This window comes from Homo sapiens, chromosome 5 (genome assembly GCF_000001405.40).
Source record: "Homo sapiens chromosome 5, GRCh38.p14 Primary Assembly".
Classification (NCBI taxonomy): Eukaryota; Metazoa; Chordata; class Mammalia; order Primates; family Hominidae; genus Homo; species Homo sapiens.
In genome coordinates this window covers 170,205,028-170,227,924 of record NC_000005.10, presented here as the reverse complement: position 1 = coordinate 170,227,924, position 22,897 = coordinate 170,205,028, and the positions used below count along the sequence as shown (strand labels likewise).

Here is a 22,897-nt window from a genome sequence, read left to right as displayed (position 1 = left end):
TTGATCTCTAGTTTCACTTGCAACCATAATGGAAAGTCTAATGCTAACATCTGAGATGTTAGATGATTTGTAAAATATTTATGTTTTTATATGTAAATTTCCATACTCAAAAACCCCCTGTACTCCTGCCTCTACTCCCACTGCCCTGGTCCTGCCCTGTGTTACAATAATGTCCTTCCTGTCTGCTCCCACCACCTACCATCTTTGTCCCTAAGAGCCACTGTATATGCTCCAGCCTCTAGTGGGATGAGCTTTTTAAAATGTAAATGGAATTGTGTCTTTCCCCTGCTTTAAAGCCTCCCAGGGGTTTCCCTTAATGGAATAAACACTACACTCCTGACCCTGGTCCGTAAGGCCCCACAGCTCCAGTCTCCCTTCCCCTCACTCTCCTCTCAGGCCTGGCACAGGCCAGCGGTTGTTTGGAACCTGTTTCCTTCTGAGCTTGCCATGTTGGCTCCTTGTTTTGCTTTAGGGTTCAGAGAGGCCTTACTCTGATATCGCCCCATCCTCTCTCCCAGCCCCTTCTGTGTTTCCATGCAGTACTTGATATAATTTGTTATGCTTTATTTATGTTTCTGTTTACTTTTTGTTTTGGTTTTGACCTGTCTCTTTCACTGTAATATAGTTCCTGTCAAGGGCAGGAACCAAGGGTCTAGTTCACTGTTATCAACGCTGTGTCTAACACAATTCCTGGCACATGGTAAATGCTCCATACAACCTTGTTCAGTAGCTGAATGAATGCAGTGGTCCCTGCTATAGTGGTATCCTGGACAGTTGGAGACACCCAGATGCAAATTACCCCCAGATGCCCTGATGGACTCAACAAAGCTCTGAGGGCAGAAGTCACACCTGCATGCCTTCTAGGTCCTCTGAGAGAAGGACAGACAGCCCCCATGGTGGCCAGGGAGAATGTGGGGGAGTGACAGCAGTCTAAACTAAAGGCATTCTCCTTTCATTCCATCTGCTTTCTGATTCTGTGGCACAGACCAGAGATCCAATAGAGCAGTGGCAAGCCGATTCAGTACTGTTCCAGAAGGCCATTGCAGGCCTGGAAGCTTCCACACAGCCTCATGTGGGAGGGATTACCCAACCCCGGTTTCTGATAAAAGAACTATCTCAGCTGTGGATCATCATTTGAATAAAAATCAAATGACTTAGGATCTGTCCAAAATGAAGAATGTTTTAATACTTTGTGTGTAAAAACACTGATATTTTGCTTCTTTTTTATTAAACAGATTTTATTATTTTTCAGAATCTTGTCAGCATAATCATTTTATGGGTGGATGAAATATTCAGCCCTGCTGCTGCAGGAGTTCTTTCACAGCAATTACCTTGTGGCACTTTTGCTGTAATTAGGTTTTCGCCTAGGATTTTTCCCTGGGTCTGGGTAATAAATGAAATATGACCAGAATTTAAATTTGTCAATTACAAGCAAGTGTAGTGCGTAAACACACAACAGAGCCATGAATTCCAAACCACAGGCTGTTGCTGGGGGCCAGATGCTCGGAAAATTAAAATGGAAATAAAACTACTGACTGGAAAACGAAAAGTGGCCCCCAAAGAAAGCAAATCTCCCCTAACACTCATGCGTGATTCTACCCAACTGTGCGAGCTCTTGACTACAAATTCTTAAGCGTGAAACTGGCAACTCAAGAAACAAGCAGGGATTTGCATTAAAACCGTCTACGCAGGGCTCTGATCTCCTGCCTTATGAACTCCTGTTTCTTGAGGCCAGATCAAACAGTTTTTGGACATAGTGGGCCAGGGTTCCATGATGGTGATGTTCTCTCCAAGCTGCTCAAGGACTGCCAGAGATTTGGGCACAGGATCGGCTATCTTTCAGCAGCTGCTGTTTTCGCTGACCTGACTTCAGTAATTGCTCCTATGGGGCCCTCTGCTGGCCATCTTTTGCAGAAAGGGAAATCTTAGGGATCTGCACTGTTGGAGACTTTGACAAATAATGTTTCATTAAAACAACCACCAAACAAAAACACACTTTTTTTTAACTTTCATATATAAGAAGCCCTAGACAAGGGAAAAGGAAGTCACAATTTTATAAACTTCCCAAGTGCCATGCATTTAATATTCATACAACAAACCTTTCTTGAGCATCTGTTGTGTATCAGACACCATGCTAAGTTTGAGGCATGTAGGGGTGAGCCATGGAGCTCATGGTCTGGTGAAGGAGACAGACTGGAATCCACACATCACACAAATGCATATTAAGTGAGGATTCAATTAGAAGCTATCAAGGAAGGAAGGATGTCCCAGTGGGGACGGTGACACGGCTGGGGCAGCTTTCAGGGAGGGCTTCCCTGGAAAGGGAACATTTGGGCTGAGATGAGAAGGAGAAACGAGCATGATAGGCAGAGGGAACAGCATATTTCAGGCCCTCATGTCAGGAGGCATCCTGGCAGATGGGAGAGCTTGAAAGAATGTCAGCAAGGCGGGGATGCAGGGAGTGAGGGGGAACCCAGGGTGAGATGAGGCTGGAGAGGGAGCAGGGGCCAACCATGCTATGCAGAGGGTTACATTCTCTCTCCTGATGCCTGTAGGAAGCCACTGAAGGGTGTTAAGCAGGTGACGAATGGGAGGTAGTGGGTGGTATGCTCATAATTGGAGTTTAAAAAGGTGATCCTGGCTTCACAATGGAGAACAGATTGGACAGGAGGAAAGAATAGATATGAGAAGTCCAGTTGGGAGTGTATTGCAGTCATCCATGGGGAAGATGATGGGGCCTTGTTTAACATGTTGGCAGAAGAGATGGAAATGACATTACAGAAATGTTTAGAAGTAGAATCAGCACAGACTCCGTGATAGGTGACACCTGGTGATGGAAGAATGGGATGCTAAGCATGGCCTATATGATCTCATTTAATTGTGAGAGCCTTGGAAACAATTCATATTCCCATTGTATGCCTGAGGAAATTGAGACTCAGAAAGACTCAGGGTTGGACTCCAGATTACTCAGCTGGGAAATGGCTGGGCCTTATGCCTTATAAACCAAAAAGTATCTGAGACAGATCTCAATCAGTTCAGAGGTTTATTTTGCCAAGGTTGAGAACACAATGGGGAAAAAGAGACACAAGCCACAGTCGGATCTGTGGCCCTATTTCTTCCAAAGAGAATTTTGAGGGCTTTGATATTTAAAGGGGAAAATGGGTAGGATGAGAAAGGGGAAAGAGAAAATAAAGGGAGGATATGGTCACATTCCACACGTTGTAGTGAAAAGGAGGGGGTAGAGGAAATAGTCAATTATATGTTTGTCTCATGCTCAGTAAATCTGCACTTTACATAAGATAAAGTAAACATGGAGTAGAGGAAGCAGTCAATCAAATGCACATTTGTCTTGGGATGGGGAGTGGGGACAATTTCTAGTCTCCTCTTGTCCCATACCCATGAAGATAAGCTGTTGATTTACATTGTCAGGGTGAGGAAGGCCTTCTGTGGAGACATGCAACCTTCTATCTGTAGCTATCAGTTTAGAAACAAAAGCAAAGGCAGGTCTTTTTGTTTTTTGTTTTTGCTTTTGTTTTTTGTTTTTGTTTTTGTTTTGTTCATGACTCAGATTCCAGGATGAGCCCTTTCCCTTTGGCACAGTGAATTTGGGGCCCTGAGATCTTATTTTCCTCTCACAGCCTTCTATTCCTCCATATTGTTTCTAGGGTTGCATAGGACATTTGCTTAGAAACTCCTCTCCCTACATCTTGTTATCTATCCCCTCCATTCTTGAGACTACCTCGAATGGTTTGCCATGTTTGTTTTCCAATCTGCCTCTCCCACTAGACCGAGCTTGTTGAGGCCTGCAGTTGTGTCTAGTTTGCCTCTGTTCTGCAAGTGCTTAGTTCCGTGCCTGGCTCACAATGAGATTACTTGCTGAGTGATTGAGAAACTTTCACCAGTCTCCGAAAGAAGACAGACATTTAGAGGGCAGGGTGGTTTAAATTTTTCTCACTGGCCTAATTCTCTCTTGTACCCAGACCACAGTTTTGGGATTTAGGCCGGAATGCCCAAAAAGGACTTTTAAGAAGGAACTGGAAGTTTCTAGAAACCTAGTGTGGCCAAAACAAAACAAACAAACAAACAAACAAAAAACAGGCTTTAGAATCATGAGGCTCTGGATCTAAATCCTAGCTCCTCAATTAATGAGGTGTGCATCCTCGAGTTACTTATCCTCTGTAACTCTTCAGTGTCCTCATGCATAAAATGAGGATAATTTGAGTAGCTGTATTTAGTTAATAGGGCTGTTGGGAGGATTGCATTTGATCTGTGCAAAGGGCTTGGCACATTAATATATAAATTTCCTGTTTTTGTAGAAAAGAAGGATAAGAATGCTTATGGCTAGCCAAGAAAGTGGATGGGGCTGGGAATTTGTCTCCACTTGACCTTAAAGTTTCCCTCACTTACTGACTCCTCTTCTTGTGGTTTATTCTGGAAGGAGGAAAGAGGAAGTTGGCTCTCTGGGGGTCCTCAACAAGCTGACAGATGTCCCCTAAGGCAGCTTTCAACAGAGAGCTCTTTATTATTATTATTATTATTATTATTCTTTGTGATTTACAGTGTGTGTCTACGAGCCTCTGGGCACAATCATGGAGCAGGAATGGAACTAATAAATTGGATCTGTTTCCAGCTTAATTCATGGCTCTGACAAAATTAGAAATGGAGACAGATGGGAGAGCCTAAACACAAAAAGTGTCCCTAAGCCTAGGTTCTCAGGTGCACGAGACAGCAGGCAGAACACTCTCCGGCTAGAACTGCAGTTGGTGCAAGACAGATCACATAGATGGAGGAGAGGAGACTGTGGACACCCCAGAAAGCCACAAATCTTTCCATTCCAAAACTGTTTGACTTAGGGATCCAGGCCTCTGGGATAATATACGCATGGGTTCAAATCCCAGCTGCACTGCCTATTTCTATAAGCTCGAGCAAGTGGCTGAAGATCACACAGCTGGCTATTGCAGTACTGGCTTCAGATGCAAGTCTGATCCCAAACCTGTGGCTTTTAACCATTATATGTACTATGTTGTTTATGAACATAGTTTGTCATATTATGATTGCACAACTGTGAATTAATTCCTTCAAATCAATACATTGTATTCGGAAGGAACTCAAGAAATACATGCTGAAAGTTTTGCTTAGATTATTTTCCCCCTGAAATTCCCTTGCTCCCTCAATTCCCAACCACAAAACAATTATAATGATCACTGGAAAAAGCATTTTAGAGAAATGCGTCTTAAGATCTTCATGAATTACTAAATTCACAATGTAAAGATAGATATCCTGGCTGTCTCTCAACTCTTATTTTCTTCCAAAGCCATGAGCTCTCTGGGCAAACCCTCATGTCATGTATTAACTGCTGCCTGTTCTTTTCCATTATCCTAGGCCCACTTGTCACAAACTAACAGGATGTTGATTTCCCTAGTGGCTCCATAGGTGCTGCAGGGTCAAGTGGGGGTGAAATGGGAGAGTGGGCAGTGGTGGGGCTCCCTCCCTTCCCCCATCCCAAGGGCAGCAGGATTCAAATTCTCACGTCAGCCAGGTGCCAACTGGCCAGGCCACTCATTAACCTTTGGGGTGCTTTCCCATAGTCAAAGCCAGCACAAAGCCAGCAAATGCCAGGAGCCCGCCACAGTATTGCAAGTCCCCCAAGGGCCATTCCTCCACCAAGGCCAGGCCCCATCCTTGTTGGGTCACAAGCACCCTCTTAACATTTCCAGGCTTATATTTTATCATAGTCAATTTATTATTATTATTATTATTATTATTATTATATATTTTTGCGATGGGGTCTCACTCACACCCAGACTGGAGTGCAGTGGAGTCATCATGGCCCACTGAAGTCTCAGCCTCCTGGGTTCAAGTGATCCTCCCACCTCAGCCTCCCGAGTAACTGGGACCACAGGTGCGCACCACCAAGCCCAGCTAATTTTTTTAGTTTTAAAATTTTTATAGAGATGAGGTCTTCCCATGTTGCCCAGGCTGGTCAATTTGTTTCTTTTAATGGAAATTAATCCTAGTTACAAAACCAAAACCATCATGGAAGTCTCAGAAAAGCACTCAAAAAGAAAAACAAAAACATTACTGGTAATCTCTCCACTCAAGGAATGTAACTGCTAACATTTTATTTCAAAACCTTCAGTCATTTCCCCCCTTTTGTTGTACAGCTTTTGAAAAAGGATTTTGCGTCCAAATGTTCTTAGGTTTAAGAAAAGGGGAGAAAAAAGTACTAATGTTATCCTTCCCAGAAAGAACTCGAGTAATCCCTATTATGTAAACTCTTTCAAAGAAACAGTCTGTTCAATACAGTTGCTAAGTCGTTTGTTGCTATAGCAATACTTGGCCCTAGAGCGCCATAAACAACCATCCTGACTCTAGCCTCCAAACACAAGGCCCCATTATCTCCCTCAGAGCTCTTCGAGGAGCTCATTTTGCCAAAGCTATTCATTTAAATTAGTAACTCCCTTCTTAATCACTTGAATTGCTTGTGCTTCACACCAAGTCACACTAGGGGGCTAAAAAAGCAGTTAGGGCAATATATTGGGATGCAGAGAGTTGGGGTCAGTATGCCTTTGATTGCGCAGATCTTTCCTTCTGGTGCTCTTCCTCAGCCGCTCTCACAGTCTGCCGTCTTGGATGCTGGCCACCCAGGGCAAAGCAAGGTTAGGCTAGGTGCTTCTGGGTGCAATGCCATTATAGTGAAAATTCTGGCAACACCATATTTAACCAATCCCAGGTAACTTTGTTGCATTAAAAGAACTAAAAAAATCAGAGAACATTCTGGAAAGCTCTTTGTAATGTTATATTACAGCTGCAGAATATCGTAACTGAAGGAAGATGTTCTAAGTGCTCAATATGTATTATTTAATTTGATTCTGGCAACAACCTTGTGGATTCAGCCAGCATTTCTCCTTGGTTTTACAGATGAAACAGTGGGGGCTTAGAGGTATTAAGTGACTTGCCCAAGGTCCCTGACTAGAAAGTGGTAGAGGCAGTTGGTTTCAAACCCATGCTGTGTACTTCACTCAGAGCCTGTTCTCTTGACCTTTATGTTACATTGCCTTGCAGCAAATGGATAGACATGTGTGGAGCTCTGACTCGTTGCACAAAATACAAGGGATTTAACATGCATTGTCTAAATGCTGTGATTGGTCTGGATAGACGTTATCACTTACATTGGTAGGTAGGGGAGCTAAGACCCAGAGATGTGGTGCTCCCAGGGTTGGCCAGCCAGCTGAGGTATAGAGGATTTGAACTCACCTCCCCCTGCTTCAAAGTGCTTCTTCCTCTACACAGCATAATTTTGTACCTAGAAATCACTAAGCCTAATGCTCTCTTTTTACAGATGAGGAAACTGAGGCCTGAAAATATTAAATGGCTTGCCCAAGGTCATTTCTCAAGGTCTAGAGCATACCTCCCTGCAGCCTGACAAGGAAGATGGAAGAGAATTCATCTGTGCTAAGCTGTTCTGGTATGCAAATGGCCCCTTTGCATTCATCTGAGTCCCAGGGGTGTCTGCAAAAGCAACTGCACTTGAAGAGTGTCTGTTTAATGTGAGATGATAGTGGAATCTTCAACCACTTCTACTGTGAGCTGGGCCATCTCGTCTCCCTAACCTGGCTTTGTCAAGCTGTGTATGCAGAGAAATCCACACTGGAAGTGCAGCATCTGGTGGGTACCCCGGGGGAAGAATGACATCTCTAATGTTTGGTCCCATTTGTTACTCCTACTCCATCCCTGCTGATGGCTGTGGCTCCTGTCGAACAGCCCTCCAATGTCCTCTTGTTACATCTTCTGGGCACTGCTTTCTCCCTGTGCCCCTTTCAGGCCTAGAGAGAGCAATGGTGCCCTACTGTTTTTAGCCTTGGGGTGGGGGGAGGGGCTTCCTCATAACTTTCTCCTTTATCCAGTCTTGCCCACACCATGGTAAATTGTCTCTTTAATAAATTACCCAATTTGAGCGTGCCCTCTCTTTTCTGCTGGGACAGTGACTGAGTCACTCCTCCAGTATTCCCTGATTCATCACCCCATTTATTTTCTTCCTGATACTTACCACAATCAGGAAGTGTTTCATTTATTATATATTTGCTTTTTATTGCCTTTCTGTCCTCCAGAATGTGAGCTTCAAGAGGATCTAGAAGCTCACTGGTTGATTATCTAAAGTCCGGATGACCACATTCACAGCCCAGCTGTGACAATTTACTGCAAAGCCTGTAAAATGACTCATTGCAACTGAGTTGGTGGCTCAGTTGGTGGCTGCCTCAACTGAACAGTCCCTTCCAAAGCTCTTTTCAGGGTGAGAGTAAAGGTTATATTTCAACTCCACACCCTTAGGCCCTGGATGCTATTTCTTTTTCTGGATTTTTCCTGGATAATTTCCACTGCAACAATGATGATGGTCAGGACCACGGTGATCATCTTGCTGAGCTCACATTCATTTCAGCCAAGAATTTGCATCCACCTACTGTGGGGCTGGATGGTGCTGTGGCTTCCAGGAAGGGGAACCCATCGCAGATGGATGCTCTCTACCTGCCTGGGCACTTTTTGAGGAACTGAGTGAAACTTCCATTTGCCTGATAAAAAGAAACAAAAACCCACCCATGGGTTCATCCAAATAATGTGTCAAAGGCTATTCAGGAGGAGCTCTGGGCTCTGTTTATTTGGTGTGCCCTCCCCTCCCATCTCCTCCCACTTTCTTCTCTTCCCTTCCTTTCTCTCTCTTTCTCTTTCTTCTCTCTCTTTTTTCTTTTTTGGAATAGGTGTGCTGAGGTTGGCAATCAGATGGGCAAAACAGAGCAGTTTTTGCAGGTAGAACAGCCCCTGGCTGCTTTCATAACACTCACAAGAGAGCAATGATCCTGGCAGGTACTTTTGACATTTAGGGCCTGCTTGGTACAGTTCTTACTGCTCAGCTCTTCATCATAGCTGAAAAAGCCCTCCAAGACACTGCCTGCTTGCCAGCCTCTCTCTCACACCTCTCCAGCCTACCCAGCCAGCCATCTGCCAGTCCCCAAATACACCAGCTTGCTTCATGTGGCTCTGCTTTTGCCTTCAATGCTTTCCTTGCCTGCTCTTTTCCCCTTGTCTCCTGGCTGAATGCCACTTATTCTTATTCTTCCAGACACAGATACAGTCGGTGTCTCACTGAGGTTCTCAAATACTTGCTCCTCAAAGTGTGGTCCTTGGCAGGTGCCAGTTTGCAAACCCTCTCCACAATGAAAGAAGTACAGTAACAGCAATTTGACAGAGTGATTTTATGACAGTGGAATCTAGTAATCATAAATTTGTGCTATTATTTCGTGTTCTGTTTATTTTTATACTAATTCACATTTTATTTATTTTACAAAACTGTTGGTATGTTTGGGGACAGAGAAACAAAATAAAAATTTTGTATATTATTGTTATACAAAAATCAGTATATCAAAGGGATACTGCACCCCCCTGTTTATCGCAATACTTATTCACAGTAGCAAAGACATGAAATCAACATAAGTGTCCATCAACAGACAATTGGATACAGAAAATATAGTATATTTTTCCAATGGAATACTATTTTGCCATAAAAAAGAATGAAATCATTGCAACAAAATGGATGGAAGTGGAGGTTATTACGTTAAGTGAAATAAGCCAGGCACAAAAAGACAAATATCGCATGTTCTCACTCATATGTAAGAGCTTAAAAAGCTGATCTCAGGGCGGTACAGAATAGAAAAACGGTTATCAGAGAACTATCCCGGGAAGGATTTGGGTGTAAGTCGGGGGTTGGTTACTGGGTAGAAACATACAGTTAGATAGAAGGAATAAGCTATAACATTTGACAGTAGAGTAGGGTGACTATAGTTAACAGCAATGTATTGCACGCTTGAAAGTAGCTGGAAGAGAGGACTTGGATTGTTCCCAACACATAGAAATGATAAATGCTTGTGGTGACAGATATCCTAGACACTCTGGTTTGATCACTGCACATTCTATGCATGTAACAAAATATCACATATCCCATGTCAATATGTACAAATATTATGCATCCATTTTTGAAAAGCAGAGTTTGTGCTCCCCACAGCTCGTTTATGAAATGCTGCTCCAAGGTTAAAGTTCCATATTCTTAGCTTTGCTTGATTGCCCCCAACTACTGCCCAGCTTCACTTTCCTCCCCATGTCTCCTTTGCACAACGTCCCCGCTCCCAACGGCTCCCTGACTTGAACATTCATGCCTGCTACCTCTTCTACTGGGCAGCTCTTCCATCCTTTCTCTGTTTAGAGAGAAAGTGCTCCTTGGTGCTCCCCAGCCTTCTAGGGCAGCTCAAATGCAACTTGCTCGGCCAGGTCCTCCAAACACACCCTCATCTGACTTAAGGCACTGCTTGCACTCCTGTAGCACCCTGCTATACCTTTGTTCTCAGCACTTGGGCCCAATCTGAGAGGTTGCTGGGAGTCCCACTGTCGAATGCTGGACCCCCTTATCCTCCTGATTATAGGCTTCATGAAGACAGGTGTCATTATACTATCTTGGGCATTACCATCTCCCTGGTTTCCATATCTAACTCATAGTACATGCTCAACAAACATGTTTTAGGCTCCTTTGATGACTGAGGAAATGAATAAATGACAAAACCCAAAATCAGCAACTGTTTTAGTGAATTACCTGACTGCCTCTATATCGAGTTGCTTATTTCATCTTCTTGACCCCTCTGGGGCCTCAATAAACCTTTTTTTTTCAATAATTTCTTCCAATATATCTTCTCAAAAAGTGTGGCTTTGCTATCAAGGAGAGCTGAGTTTAAATTCCAGTTGCTCTACCAACCAGCTGTGTCACCTTAGGCAAGTCATTTGAACCCTCTGAGCCTTAGTTTTTCTCACCTGTAAGATGGATATATAAAAACGTACCTCCCAGGATTGTTGGAGAATGAGATGAAATTGCCCAATTATAAACACCAGGCATAGTGCCACAGACTAGATGTCTAATCAACATTAGTTTTTTTCTCCTCTTGTTCTCCCTCCTTTCTCTGTTATGACTTTACAAAGACAAAGGCAATGCCTCATTCATCCTTGTGCCTCTAGAGCCTGATATGCAGCAGGTGCTCAGTACAAGTGTGTTGTGTGAGTAAATATTACCTTATTCAATAAAAGTAATTGTGCCAAGGGATCAATGTTTCCAGTTTCTTAATCCATAAAATGGATATGATAATTTTTATTGTTGAGAGATTTGAATAAAATAATGCATATAAGTGCTTGGCACAATACCTGGTTTGCTAATTGCTAATTGTTATTATCAGTAATAATGATAATGTATCAGATGGTATCCCCAAATTCTAAACACCAATTTCATTTCAAATAAATTGAACAAACAAAACAATGAACAGTGGCCAGGGTGGACTTCTTTCCAGAGGTATAGTGAAGGGGTGTCAATCCAATCTTGACACAGCTCAGATAATATATAAAGCAAATCTGTATGTAGTCAGGAGTGACAGCAGGGGATGCTGTTTCCTTAATAAAGAGGCAGCCAACTTGCAGCAGCTCCCAGCAGCTCTGATGCAGCATTTGAGAGCTCAGTTCACTTGGAAGCTAAAAGGGCAATAAGTTTCTTGTGGCAGGAACTGTGTAAGTACTGAACAGAAATCTATTGACTGACACTCCACAGTTTGGAACCCTGAATATTCTTTTTGTCTTTGGCTGGTTTTTGGACTGTGGGCTAGTCACTTGCGCTCTCTTGCATTACCAGCATAAAGGGAAGTCGTCCATATTTATGGATGAAAGGAGAGAAGCAAAGAAATAGAACCCTAATATCTCAAGGGACCCTTTGACTGCATTTGAATTCGGCTTCTCTCACCAAGCTGTACTGAGGGGGAGGGAGGAAGGAGAGGAGGAGGAGTGCTGAGGCTGCTTCGGGCTGTCTTTTTCTAATTCCTCTGCCCACAGGTGCATTAAAAAATGCACAGTAGTCATTCAGGAGCAGGTTGTTCAGTTTCCATGTAGTTGAGCGGTTTTGAGTGAGTTTCTTAATCCTGAGTTCTAGTTTGATTGCACTGTGGTCTGAGAGACAGTTTGTTATAATTTCTGTTCTTTTACATTTGCTGAGGAGAGCTTTACTTCCAACTATGTGGTCAATTTTGGAATAGGTGTGGTGTGGTACTGAAAAAAATGTATATTCTGTGGATTTGGGGTGGAGAGTTCTGTAGATGTCTATTAGGTCCGCTTGGTGCAGAGCTGAGTTCAATTCCTGGGTATCCTTGTTAACTTTCTGTCTCGTTGATCTGTCTAATGTTGACAGCGGGGTGTTAAAGTCTCCCATTATTATTGTGTGAATGGGCAAAAACTGGAAGCATTCCCTTTGAAAACTGGCACAAGACAGGGATGCCCTCTCTCACCACTCCTATTCAACATAGTGTTGGAAGTTCTGGCCAGGGCAATTAGGCAGGAGAAGGAAATAAAGGGTATTCAATTAGGGAAAGAGGAAGTCAAATTGTCCCTGTTTGCAGACGACATGATTGTATATCTAGAAAGCCCCATTGTCTCAGCCCAAAATCTCCTTAAGCTGATAAGCAACTTCAGCAAAGTCTCAGGATACAAAATCAATGTACAAAAATCACAAGCATTCTTATACACCAATAACAGACAAACAGAGAGCCAAATCATGAGTGAACTCCCATTCACAATTGCTTCAAAGAGAATAAAATACCTAGGAATCCAACTTACAAGGGATGTGAAGGACCTCTTCAAGGAGAACTGCAAACCACTGCTCAATGAAATAAAAGAGGATACAAAGAAATGGAAGAACATTCCATGCTCATGGGTAGGAAGAATCAATATCGTGAAAATGGCCATACTGCCCAAGGTAATTTATAGATTCAATGCCATCCCCATCAAGCTACCAATGACTTTCTTCACAGAATTGGAAAAAACTACTTTAAAGTTCATATGGAACCAAAAAAGAGCCCACATCACCAAGTCAATCCTAAGCCAAAAGAACAAAGCTGGAGGCATCACGCTACCTGACTTCAAACTATACTATAAGGCTACAGTAACCAAAACAGCATGGTACTGGTACCAAAACAGAGATATAGATCAATGGAACAGAACAGAGCCCTCAGAAATAACGCCGCATATCTACAACTATCTGATCTTTGACAAACCTGAGAAAAACAAGCAATGGGGAAAGGATTCCCTATTTAATAAATGGTGCTGGGAAAACTGGCTAGCCATATGTAGAAAGCTGAAACTGGATACCTTCCTTACACCTTAAACAAAAATTAATTCAAGATGGATTAAAGACTTAAATGTTAGACCTAAAACCATAAAAACCCTAGAAGAAAACCTAGGCATCACCATTCAGGACACAGGCATGAGCAAGGACTTCATGTCTAAAACACCAAAAGCAATGGCAACAAAAGTCAGAATTGACAAATGGGATCTAATTAAACTAAAGAGCTTCTGCACAGCAAAAGACACTACCATCAGAGTGAACAGGCAACCTACAAAATGGGAGAACATTTTCACAACCTACTCATCTGACAAAGGGCTAATATCCAGAATCTACAATGAACTCAAACAAATTTACAAGAAAAAAACAACCCCATCCAAAAGTGGGCAAAGGATATGAACAGACACTTCTCAAAAGAAGACATTTATGCAGCCAAAAAACACATGAAAAAATGCTCACCATCACTGGCCATCAGAGAAATGCAAATCAAAACCACAATGACATACCATCTCATAGCAGTTAGAATGGCAATCCTTAAAAAGTCAGGAAACAACAGGTGCTGGAGAGGATATGGAGAAATAGGAATACTTTTACACTGTTGGCGGGACTGTAAACTAGTTCAACCATTGTGGAAGTCAGTGTGGCGATTCCTCAGAGATCTAGAACTAGAAATACCATTTGACACAGCCATCCCATTACTGGACACATACCCAAAGGACTATAAATCATGCTGCTATAAAGACACATGCACATGTATGTTTGTTGCGGCACTGTTCACAATAGCAAAGACTTGGAACCAATCCAAATGTCCAACAACGATAGACTGGATTAAAAAAATGTGGCACATATACACCATGGAATACTATGCAGCCATAAAATATGATGAGTTCATGTCCTTTGTAGGGACATGGATGAAATTGGAAATCATCATTCTCAGTAAACTATCGCAAGGACAAAAAACCAAACACCGCATGTTCTCACTCATAGGTGGGAATTGAACAATGAGAACGCATGGACACAGGAAGGGGAACATCACACTCTGGGGACTGTTGTGGGGTGGGGGGAGGGGGGAGGGATAGCATTAGGAGATATACCTAATGCTAAATGATGAGTTAATGGGTGCAGCACACCAGCATGGCACATGTATACACATGTAACTTACCTGCACATGGTGCACATATACCCTAAAACTTAAAGTATAATAAAAAAAATAGCAGTTGATCTTCCTGTGGAAATTGTTTTCCAATCTGTATGAATTGAATGGCTCAACTAAATAAATGAAGAAAAATGAAAAAAAAATTCACAAAGACCCCCTATAAGCTAGCAGCAGCTTTCTAGAGCACATCTGCTCTTCATCAGGGTGACTTTCTTTCTCAGGTGGGAATGTTTTCCTGGTTGCTACAAGGCTTAGCCTTGGCCCTGTCCCTATGATTATTAATAACTTAGAGACAGACATAGGAGCTCATTTATCAAGTCTAATGATGCACAATATCTGGTCATCCCTCTCTGATGTCAACATCCTTGACACCTCCTCCAGAAGCCCTCCCTGGTCCTCTGGTCTAGTTTAAGTGCCCCTCTATGCCCTCAGTACAGACATTTTTCTCTACACTCAGTCCCTTGTGCAATTGTCAACTGTTTACTGGCCTGTCTCTTACACTGGACCATGCCACAGATCCTCAAGGACAGAGACCAAGTCATTCATTTCTGTACGCTAAGCCTCAGAACAGGTTCTCAGGGAATGGGCATTGATGAATTAATAAATGAATGAAAACGAGGATTAGGAAAATAACTACTATGCTGAATAATCAATAAGGACCTTAAAAAAGATGATACTCAATTTCAGTTATTGTTGAAAGAAACAAGAGAAAGATTAAATATGAAGTCCTGCTCCCAGTCTTAAGGAATCAGCTTGACAGACAGGCCTAAGGTGGAGAGGGGAGTTGCTAGTAAGCTAGAAGTGAAACCCTAGGCAGAATTAACAGGAGTATAGTGTTCAGTGCATGGATGATGGCAGCCCTTCCCATAGTCCACTCTGGTTTGATCACATCTGGAGTACGAGTACAGGAAGATGAAAAAGAGAGATGCCTTACTGGGCAGGGATTAGGGTAAAGCAAGAGAGGTACCCAGGGTGCAAAATATAAGAAGGACCTCACTCTTGGGATCCTGCAAGTGCAGGTTGGGCACCTGAGACCTACTATCCTTTTCACATGCTGCAACCTGGATGTCTCTCTTGCCTCCCCCTAGTTCTAGCCCTGGGTGCCTTGGAGTTAGCTCTGAGAAGTGAGGTATGTTACATGTTCAAGAGCTGTTTACCCTGAAGAAAGAAAACTCTAAGGGGATCAGATAACAACACCTAGTCAACTAATTGATTAAACGTGTATTTATTGGATACCTACTATATAAAAGGCACTATGCTAGATACTGGGGAGGAATCTTCAATATAAAAAGGAGTAACACAATGCCACTGCCTTCAATGGGTGGAATGCCTTTTACCTCCTATTTATGAACAAACCTTGTAGGATTATCAGTCATAATGTTCTTGTCATTGTTTGGCATGGTGGTCTAGAGCTCTGGAGTCTGACTGCCTTGAATCATAGCCTCCTGGCTGGGAGTATAATAACAATATGACCTTGGGCCAGTTCCCTTCTTTGTAAAATGGGGATAGAGTGTCTTCATAAGGAGGTAATGATGCAATACCTGAAAAGCAGTAGAAGAGCATTTTATGCATGCAGGTGCTCAGTAGGTACTAGTTAGTTTGGTGTTATTATTATTATTGCTGTTTTCGTTGTTACCTTGACATCTTAAGTTGTATTTGTCCCATACTGATACACTCTGTATGTTAAACAGATGGAAATAGAGCTGTCTTTACTGCCACAGAGGAATGTGCTCTCTCAAATATTTTATTGAGACACTCAGACTTCTGTGTCTACATTTCATTTTCTCACTGTTGATAGAGTTGCAGGTAAACATTCCTTTACTATGACAAAAAACCCTCCAGCTAAACAATGGTGATTAATAGCCCCATTACTGGACCTGCTGTGGGGCATGGGATAGAGGCTGGGAGAGCTGGATGAACTAAAGGAGACCCAGCCCATTTAAAGATGGACACCACCTTTCAGCTTGGGTCAACTGTTGCATGGGAGATGCAGGCTCTATGTTGCTGTATTTTCTAATTTTTCAAGAAATTTAGACATTCAGATTTCAAAGTAAAGTCTCCTGCATTTTTTTTTCTTTTAGTGTTGGGTCAATTAAAACACACACACTAACAGGCCAAAGACTACATCAGCCTATGGACCATCAATTTTCTTGTAATTCTGGCTTACTTGAAAATCCATCCTTAGCATGAGAATCAAAGACTACCTCTAATTTTCATTGCCTAATTGCCTGGACTCCTCTTACACTCAGCTTCTCATTCCTCTCAAATATTGTAACCTTTTCACCTCTCCACAACCTGTAACTAAACCACCCTTCCTCTCCTATCTTGACAAAAACGTATGCTCATCCTTCAAGGCCCATTCAAATGTCACCTGCTTTCCTCTTCCAGAAGAATTCCTCAAACATGCTCACCTACCGTATTCCTTTTATTCAGTGGTGATGTTGGTTGGCTATTGAGAACAATAAACATCAGCTGCCAATACTGTTCTGTAGCTTGTCTCCTCTTGCTTTCATTTGGAAAGATTCTCATTCTTACCAAATAAAATCTTAGCAGTTAATTATGTATTACATTTAAAAAGCTTTATTATCAAAAACTTTCAAATATACTCAAATTAGAAAGATCAGTATGATGACCTACATATACCATCGTATAGCTTCAATAACTATCAACTCATTACCAATCTTCTTTCATTTATACCTTCCCCAATTCCCTCAACAAAATTATTTTGAAACAAATTTCAGACATTATATATTTTCATCTGTAAATATTTCAATTAATCTCTCTAAAATATAAAGCTCTTATTTATAAAGCTCTTATTATTATCATTAATAGGAAAAATTTTAAATGTATAGAGAGCTATACAGACTACTGAAATGATCCTCCATCTACTCATTATCTGACTTCAACAATGATCACTTTATGGGCAATTCTATTTTATCTATATTCAATTCTTCTCTTTCATAGATTATTTTGAAACAAATTCTAGACATTTCAGTTTGTAAATATCCTTATGTTTCCTTAGAATATAAAGACTCTGAAAATTAAATAATTCACTTGCAAAATAATAAAATTGGACCCCAACCTCACACCATATACAAAAAAATTAACTCAAAATGGATTAATGACACAAAAATAAGAGCTAATACTATTAAATGGAAGAAAACATATGGGCAAATCTCCATGACCTTGGCTTTGGCAATGACTTATAGATATGACATCAAAAGTATGAGCAAAAAGGAAAATAAATAAATTGAGAAATTAAAAATGTTTGTGCATCAAATATCTTCAAGAATGTGAAAAGACAACTTATAGAATGGGAGACAATATTGGCAAATCCTATATCTAATGAGTCTTGCATGTAGAATACATAAAGAACTCTTGCAATTCAATAATAAAAAGACAAACAATCCAATTTTAAGAATGGGCAAAGGACTTGAATAAACATTTATCCAAAGAAGATACAAAAATGGCCAACAAATACATGAAAAGATGCTCAACATCATTAGTCATTAGGGAAATGCAAATCAAAACCACAATGAGGTACCACCTCACACACTCCAGGATGGTTACAATAAGAAAAATGAAAATCTTTGTACACTGCTGATGGGAATGGAAAATGGAACAGCTGCGGATGAAAGCAGTTTGGTGGTTTCTTAGTTAAATGTAGAATTACTGAGCAATTCTACATCCAGGTATATATCCGAAACAATGGAAAATAGGTACTCAAGTACATATACACACATACTCATATTCATAACAGCATTATTCACAATAGCTAAAAGATTGGAGCAAGCCATATGTCCATCAACAAATGAACGGATAAACTAATTGTGGCACACACATACAATGGAATGTTCAGTCATGAAGAAAAGTGAAGTACTGATACATGCTACAACATGGATAAATCTCATACACATGCTAAGTGAAAGAAACCAGGCACAAAGGTCATATGTTGTATGATCCACACAGATGAAATATTCAAAATAGGTAAATCCATAGAGATGGAATGCAGATTGGCGCTTGCCAGGGGAAGTAGGGAGGGGAATAGGGATCAACTGCTTAAAGGGTGTGGGGTTTTCTTTTTTAAAAAAATTCAATAGCTTTTGGGGTACAAGCATTTTCTTTGTGACATGGATTAATTATATAGTGGTAAATTCTGAGCTTTTAATGCACCTGTTGCCCAAGTAGTGTACATTGCACTTTAAGGTTTTCTTTTAAGGTGATGAAAATGTTTTAAAACTAGATAGAGGTGGTGGTTGCATGCCATTTTGAATGTACTAAATGCCACAGAATTGTTTATTTTTAAATGGTTAATTTTAAGTTTTGTGAATTTCACCTGAATTAAAAATTTAAAAACCAATACCATTTTCACTTTAAAAAATAAAGAGTAATTTCTTTAATATTAAATATCCAGTCAGCATTCAAATTTCCCTGTCTTTTTTCTCAAAAAAACAAAAACCAGATTGCTTCAACTGGTATCCAAATAAGGTACATATATTTTGAATGTTTGATATATTTTTATCTCTTTTAATCTATAAATTTCTTCCTTTCTTTTTCTCTTTCAATTTTTTGTAATTGAAGAAACTGAGTCAAATGTCTTGTACTAGACAAATGTCTTGTACTAGACAAATGTCTTATAGATTCTTTTTTTTTTTTTTTTTTTTTTTTTTTTGCGACAGGGTCTCACTCTGCTACCCAAGCTGGAGTGCAGTACCACGGTTCATCGCAACCTCAAATTCCTGGGCTCAAGCAATCCTCCCACCTCAGTCTCCTGAGTAACTGGGTCTACAGGTGTGTGTACCATGCCTGGCCACAGATTCCTAATTTTTCTCCCTGTATCTGTGTGGTGGTGTTTGACATAATCCTTTGTTTCTTGCATTTTCTGTAATTTGACAATTAGATCTAGAAGCTTGACAAGAGTCTGTATTTTGTTCTTTTGAAGAGAAAGTCTACTTCATAGGCACCAACTGTCTCTCTATGGTGACATGAACAGACATAGATGATCATTGACTCGATCCATTAATTCATTAGCTGTGTACAAGATGGTGATATTCTACTATTCCCTCTGCATTTATTAGCTGGAATCCTCTCATACAAAGCAACATCTCCTATTTAACTGTTTGATTATGCAGAGGAGCAGTTTATATGGAAAGAGCAGAATAAATGCTTGATTTTTCCCTTTATTTTACTATCATTTATACTCATGGATTTGAGCATAGTTGTTATTTTTCAATTCTTTGCAATTATTATCTTTATTAAGGCTCACATTGTCCTATTTTTGGTCAGTAGGAGTCTCTCCAGGCTGTCTTCTGAGTCCTTTTGTCACAGACCCGGTGGCCTTGATGGTTCCTTTGCTGTCTGGCGTGACAAGATGGCACATTTCCTGCTCTAGACCTGGAATTCGCTATTTTTCCCAGGCAGCCTTGGTTCATTTTAGTGGTTAATGGCATTTAGAGGCTGCAATCTGAAAAGGCCTGTTTTAAAAAGAGAACCTTATTATCATTATCATATGTAAAAATTGAACAATCGTTCCTCAACATGTGAATCCCATTTAAAATAAATTCCTTCAATGTGATATTTTCAAAGCACTTTCATATAACTTAGTTTTCACACTCTAGTCTCATAACCTAATCTTTAGAATCTATCGTGTGAGGCAATAATACTAAAAATATGTGCCACTCGCCATGTGAGGGGCTTTACATAGTTAGCTCACTGAATACTTACAATACACCAGAATGGGGGGGAATACTACCCCTACCTTGTCTGTTCTATAGACAGGGAAACTGAAGCCCGGGAACACGAAATCACTTGCTTATGAATAGAAGCTTGTGCAGAATGATGTAAGTTACCTAATTCTAGGCCACTTGCTTTTTATTCTGCAATACAAGAGGGATGGCACATATGTGGGAGGCAACTAAGATATACACATAAGTTTTGAAATCTTTAAAGCATCATGTAAATGCATGGTACTTGTTGCTGTTACTTTTGAGTGCTGCTACCATATTCTGCATATGAACAACTTCTCATAAAATCAAGTAGCTTTGGCCCAAATGTAACCGGTCTACCTTTGTAAAAAGTATCATTGTTGCTGGAAATAATACAATTTCACCTTCTACCTTAGAGAAAAGCCTGGGTTTATTTTTGTCTTTTTTTATAGAGGAGTTGAAAGTCAAGGAATCTTAGTGGAATCAATTTTTGAGATTTGTCAGAGAGGGTTGCAAACTGTTTATCAAATTCTCATTGATTTCTTCCCCACAGGAATTGCCGACGACACAGGCAGAATAAAAAGGATTTTCTTTCTGCCTCCTTCTTGCCCTTCTGAACAGATACTTTTGAAACAAAAATACAGAAATAAATACATACATCGATGATCCCCAAGGCTCCGAAGTGACAATCGATAATTTTTCTCTCTTGTTTGAGTTGGCCTCACAGTTCCAATATTTACTTTATTTCACAAACACTTAACATAGTTTTCTCTTCTACTCATTTTGCAAACGCTAACTCACTTAATTCTCTTGTAAAACCTCTGAGGTAGATACTCAGAGTATCTACCCTTTAGTCCCATTTTACAGGTGACGAAACGGAGGCATATAGAGGTAAAGTAATTTGCCAAGGTGGTACGACTAGTCAGTTGTGGCTCTGGGGTCTGAAATCTGTGTACCTGACCACTACGCCACATTACCTCTGCATCCCTGGGCCTCTCCCACTGCGACATTGATGCCCACAGTACCAAACGTAACTGGGACCCGCAAAAAGTTAATTTCAAGACCCAAGAATTACCTTGTCTCACTCAATGTTTCCCACCAGACTTAGCAAAACACACCTGTCATATTCTGAATGCTAGGGAACCAGGAATTCGAAATGATATGCTTTATTTTTTTCCCTTATCAGGTTTGATCTTGACAAAGGAAACAAAAATCTTATTTGTAGAGGTAGATTCTGTTTGAGGACCCCCAGATGCTGTGGTACACGCAACATCTGGCTGAAGAGCCAATTACACTTTGTGTGTTTAGCCAGGTTTCTATGGCAGCAGCCCTCTGAACATCTACGTTTCTTTTGCTTTTTAAAATATGGCTTTAATAATTACAATAGCATAACAAATCCTAATCATTATGGTAAACATTTATCCAGTGTTTACCAGGGCCAGTGACAGTGCTAAGAGCTCCATGTGTCTAATGTTGTTTGATCCTCCAAATAACACTATGAAACAGCTTAGGAAATAAATAAAGCTTAGCTGTATTTTACAGACGTGGAAACTGAAGCATAGAGAGGCTAGGTCACTTGCTTAAAGTCACAGAGAGTTGCAGTTCTTGGATTTGAAACTAGGTCTGTTTGACTGGGATCTGAATTAGTTTTCTAAACTGCCTCTCACATTACAGACTCATGAGCTCAGCTCAAAACTCTCATTCGTTGTGCTTTCAAGGGGAAATTCAGTTTAATTTCAGTGTATGTGTTGCAGAAGCCAGCACAGAAATTCAGCTTAAGATTATTCCTTGGTGCTCTTTCCTTTATTCACTCATGAAAAAAGTGGGGAAATAAGATATCATTCCTGCTTGGTGGACTACAAAGAGCTTATAAGGGAGAGCGATGTGCCATTATAAGGAGATTAAGAAAATCCCAGACAAAGCTAACACCTCGGTGACTGGAAAGCCCATTGGCTTTCTAACTTAGCTTAGGACTCAGTGAATGCTTCCTGGAGGAAGTGGCTTAAAATTCAGCGAAGGCATCCTGGAGGAAGTGGCATCTAGGTTGGGACAAAAAGGGATACACCAGAGTTTAGCAGGAAAAACCCAGTTAGAGCAAGGGGCATTCTGGGAATAGGAAAAATTACTTACCCCAAAAGTGAGATAATATGAGACACTTTCAGAGAAATATAAGAAATGTAGTCCACTCTGAATTGCGGGTGGGGTGGGAGCAGCCAGAGCTGAAGCTAGAGAGTTAAAGACGAGATTATTCTGGAGCCTTATACGCTGTGGGAGAGTTTATACAACGCTGGATTTCTGGTGGGGTGGGGGAAGCCTTCCAAAGATCATTCTGTGATTTTTGGAATTATCAGGAGCTGTCAGCCACAGAAGTCAGCCTTTTGGAACCCACTTAGGAGGCACTGTGGTCTGACGGTGGGACAGGCCATTTGTTAAGGAGGTCACCCTGAGAAAGTCAGAATGCTTGATGATGGCAGTGACAGCACTTGCTCTGTTGAAAATGACTTCTAAATTTCCTGTGGTTGCGGAAAAGCCAGCTGATGTCCCAAGGCAGAGAACCATCAGTGATGCCTTTCTAAAGATGCTTCACCAGAAAATAAGGTTACTGCCCTCATACATAAGAACAGTGCGTGGGACATTGAGTAAAGATTAGAAAATTGGGTGGGCATCTTGGGAAAAATGCAAACTGCAATAGACATTTCTATCTGGTTTATTTTTCTGCTGTGAAGAAAAACTGTTTACTTGTTAGAAATATCGTACTTTTATAGAATTGAAGATTTTGGGCTTTGGACTCAGACAAGTCCCAGTTCCAACCTGGGCTTAGTTAACTGTTTGCTGAGGAAC

At 41.0% G+C, this 22,897-nt stretch overlaps 2 annotated features.

The window, feature by feature from the left end:
• Window positions 7,352–8,551: an enhancer, noted in NCBI's record as "P300/CBP strongly-dependent group 1 enhancer chr5:169646378-169647577 (GRCh37/hg19 assembly coordinates)". NCBI's record gives its function as "activates an origin of replication core promoter dependent on BRD2, BRD4, P300/CBP, MED14 and CDK7 cofactors, with strong dependence on P300/CBP, by STARR-seq in HCT116 cells {active_cell/tissue: HCT116}" and the evidence as "EXISTENCE:reporter gene assay evidence [ECO:0000049][PMID:35650434]".
• Window positions 11,386–11,680: a silencer, noted in NCBI's record as "tiled region #15284; HepG2 Repressive non-DNase unmatched - State 13:Ctcf". NCBI's record gives its function as "represses a minimal TATA promoter and a strong SV40 promoter by Sharpr-MPRA in HepG2 cells {active_cell/tissue: HepG2}" and the evidence as "EXISTENCE:reporter gene assay evidence [ECO:0000049][PMID:27701403]".